Source organism: Homo sapiens, chromosome X, assembly GCF_000001405.40.
Source record: "Homo sapiens chromosome X, GRCh38.p14 Primary Assembly".
In the NCBI taxonomy this organism is placed as follows: Eukaryota; Metazoa; Chordata; class Mammalia; order Primates; family Hominidae; genus Homo; species Homo sapiens.
Genome location: NC_000023.11, coordinates 39,062,979 through 39,066,291, shown reverse-complemented (window position 1 = coordinate 39,066,291; position 3,313 = coordinate 39,062,979). Strand labels below are relative to the sequence as shown.

The following is a 3,313-nucleotide window of genomic DNA, read 5'->3' as shown; positions in this document are numbered from 1 at the left end:
CCATCTCGTAGGATTGTTGTGAAAATTCAATGCAGTAATACATGCCCAGTGCTTAGAACAATGCCTGGCACTTAGTAAGAGCTGTCAAAGTGTTGGCTCTTACCCTTGGGGAGGCTGCTAAGACTCCTACGTAGGCTGATGCTGGATCATTATGTCAGGTGAAAGCCACCGACCGCACCAGACAAGAGGCCAGGTAGTAGGAAGCAGCCCAGTTTGAGACAGAGACCAGGCCCAGGCCTCTAGGCAAACATCATCCATACTGTGCTCACAGCTCAGCCAGCCTCCCAGGAACAAGGAGGAAAATGGGCTTTCTCAACAGGAGCCAAACAGATAGACATTATTTCCTAGCAGTGGGAAGTGAGCCACCAGGGAGGAGAGCTGGGCATTGTCCTCCCCTCACCCTCAGGCATGAGCCTTCTTTAATAAGTAGTTGCCCTTCCCCAGACCTGACATCTCAATCCGTCCAAACCCCCTCCTTGCTCGCTGAGCTGCTGCCTCCACCGCCACCATCAGGCTGGGAGAACTGCCAGGAAGAATCCGCACAGCAGTGAGCTCCAATAATGCTAAACAATGGATTAATTACACTCCTCGCCTGTTTAGCTGGAGCTCCCAGGGTTGCCTGCACGTGTGGTCACAGAAGACAACAACAGGTGCGAGACGCTGGTGAACACATCAACTGCCCACAGCGCAGCCCTCTGCTCCCCCTCCCTCCACCTCCTGAGCCCCATTCAAGTCATTAAGCCTCCCCGCCAGCCCCCGCCAGAGATATGAAAGGCTTTTGTCTTCTCTCTTCCTTCCCTCCTTTTTAAGGAGTTTCATGCTGGGCGTACTGCTCGTTTTCACAACCCTGCTTGGAGCCATAGATGGAGAGCTGAGGGGTGAGGCAAGACTTCTTTCCAGGAGGGCATCTGCCATGGGGTGACGGCTGGGCTGGCACTGCTCTGAGCCCACCTGGCCAGGCAGGGAAGAGGCAACAGCTGCTTTATGCTCCTATGAGTGCCAGCTTTCCCGAAAGGAGGTCAGCCTCAGAGACCAAACTGCTAATTAGGTCGCATTCTGCTTCCTGCTGCCACTTTAATTTCCACCCCAGAAAACCTTCAGCTGTGAGTCCAAGACCATCAGCTCCTTTCACCCAAATGCAAATGTCTCCAAGGCCTCTCTGGCTGGCCGGCCTTTCACTGGCGCTGGCGAGCAGTGGCAGCGACAGAACTCTGCTAAGGACAGGAGCTTCCGACAGAGAGGGGTACTTAAGACAAATTTGCCTTAGAAAATTTGGAATCTGCCTGAGTTTGAAGTTGCTTTTAAGAAGACAGGCAGCCAGGCACAGTGGCTCACACCTGTAATCCCAGCACTTTGGGGGGCAGAGGCGAGTGGATCACTTGAGGTCAGGAGTTTAAGACCAGCCTGGCCAACATGGTGAAACCTCTTCTCTACTAAAAATACAGAAATCAGCCAGGCATGGTGGTGGGCGCCTCTAATCCTAGCTATTCGGGAGGCTGAGGCACGAGAATCGCTTGAACCCGGGAGGCGGAGGTTGCAGTGAGCCGAGATAGAGCCACTGCACTCCAGCCTGGGCAACAGAGCAAGACTTTGTTTCAAAAAAAACAACAAAAAAAGACAGGCAACCCCATAAAGATTTCTAGAAGCTGGGTGTTATAAATGAGCCCTGAACCAGGGGTTAGGAACTTTGGGCTTATTTTTGGTTAAGGAGCTGCTGGGAGACCTTGGGCAAGTCACTTCTGCTCCCTGAATCTGTTTCTTCATCTATAAAATGAGTGGATTGAACTTGCCCATCCCAGCTTCTGTGATTCTGATAATGATTTATATCTTATTTCGTATTAACAAAGTTTGTTTTTATCTGTGTGTCCCTTGCTGCAAATATAGATGTTGTGTTATATCTTTTTCCCCCTAAAGACTGAAGTCCCTAGATGAGATTGGCATCACCAGTCCTCATTTGCCAAGTGGGAGAGCCGAAATAGAGAACTTCTACCCAACGTCTCTCAGAGGTAAGGTGCAGTTCCAGGTCCTGGACAACTAAACTCCATTCCTGTGCTGCTAGCAGAATTCCACAGCAGGAAGCCCCAGGGCAGGTCTCTGCAGTCCGAATCCAGATTCTCCTTCCTTGACATTGCACATCCTCTTCTTCTCTTCCCTGATCTTGGTCTTGTTCATTTCAGTCTCAAATCCACTTCCATGATCCTTATCCAAAAGGGCTCTGGATCAGTCATTTACTTCTTGGTATCCATTGAAAACCATCTGTTACTTTTCTCAGGTATATTTGTATTTTCAGCCTCCTGTGGCAGATGCTGTGATGTCCAGGTGCTATTTCCCAGGCACTTCCTCCTTCAGTCACCATGACTGTTGGCTGGTAAGTCCTCCTCTGGGAACTGCTCTCAGCTGATAAGAACTTTTTTTGCCCAAGGTCACCCCCTCTTTCATGGGTGGGGGCAATACAAAAGCCCAGCCCCTTTGCTTCAATTTGGGCCAATTCTGCAAGGCCACCCCAGCTCTGGAGGCCCTTGAGGGATGAGCTGTGGCCTCTGTGACAAGCACACTGGCATTGCAGTTCAACTTCTCCCTCTTGCTCCCCTGCCCTCTCCCTCCCTAATAGGTGTTGCTCCCCAGGGCATTCCCAATAAACTTCCTGCACATCAATTGCTGACTCAAATTGGGTTTTCCAGGAAGTGCAACCTAAGACACCTCATTTCCTTCTAGGGTGAGAGAGAGAGAAGAAAGACTACATCCTTGGGTAAAGGGATGTGGCTCAGTGGATGGGGGCATGTTTTGGAGCAGTTTCCTCCCTGAATTCACATAGCTTATACAGTTACCTTCTAGCAGAGCAAAAAGGCAATCCTTTGGGTCCCGTTTTACATCTGCCCCAATACTGTGGAGAGGGTGGGTGGCCCAGGCTTTCAGTTCCTTTCCTGACTGGACACACAGGTTTGTGAAATTCACAGAGGCGGCATCACCCAGATACACTCCCTGAAGCACAAGCTCTTAAAGCTCTGGACCTGGTCCAGGGGCGTCAATCCTGTTCTCCTCTCACATCACTTCCTCCTTGCTGGGTGTTGCAAGGAGGTCCTTGCATCACACTTTGACCTCGTAATATTGCCTCATGACCTGTTATTACATATGTAGTGGCACCAGCATCATTTCAAAGGAGCCTGTGGCATCTTTCCTATACACAATACTGAGATAATGCTGGCCAGGGCTCCTAGAATCAGAAAGGGGCTGTGGCAGTAATTCATCACTACCACTCCTGGCTTATATCCAATAGCAAAACAATATATACCTGGGATATTTGTTCAGCAAA

General features: G+C 50.1%; 2 annotated features.

The window, feature by feature from the left end:
• Window positions 316-906: an enhancer, noted in NCBI's record as "OCT4-NANOG-H3K4me1 hESC enhancer chrX:38924639-38925229 (GRCh37/hg19 assembly coordinates)". NCBI's record gives its function as "activates a minimal SCP1, AML or CMV promoter by ChIP-STARR-seq in naive H9 embryonic stem cells {active_cell/tissue: H9 hESC(naive)}" and the evidence as "EXISTENCE:reporter gene assay evidence [ECO:0000049][PMID:30033119]".
• Window positions 907-1,497: an enhancer, noted in NCBI's record as "OCT4-NANOG-H3K4me1 hESC enhancer chrX:38924048-38924638 (GRCh37/hg19 assembly coordinates)". NCBI's record gives its function as "activates a minimal SCP1, AML or CMV promoter by ChIP-STARR-seq in naive H9 embryonic stem cells {active_cell/tissue: H9 hESC(naive)}" and the evidence as "EXISTENCE:reporter gene assay evidence [ECO:0000049][PMID:30033119]".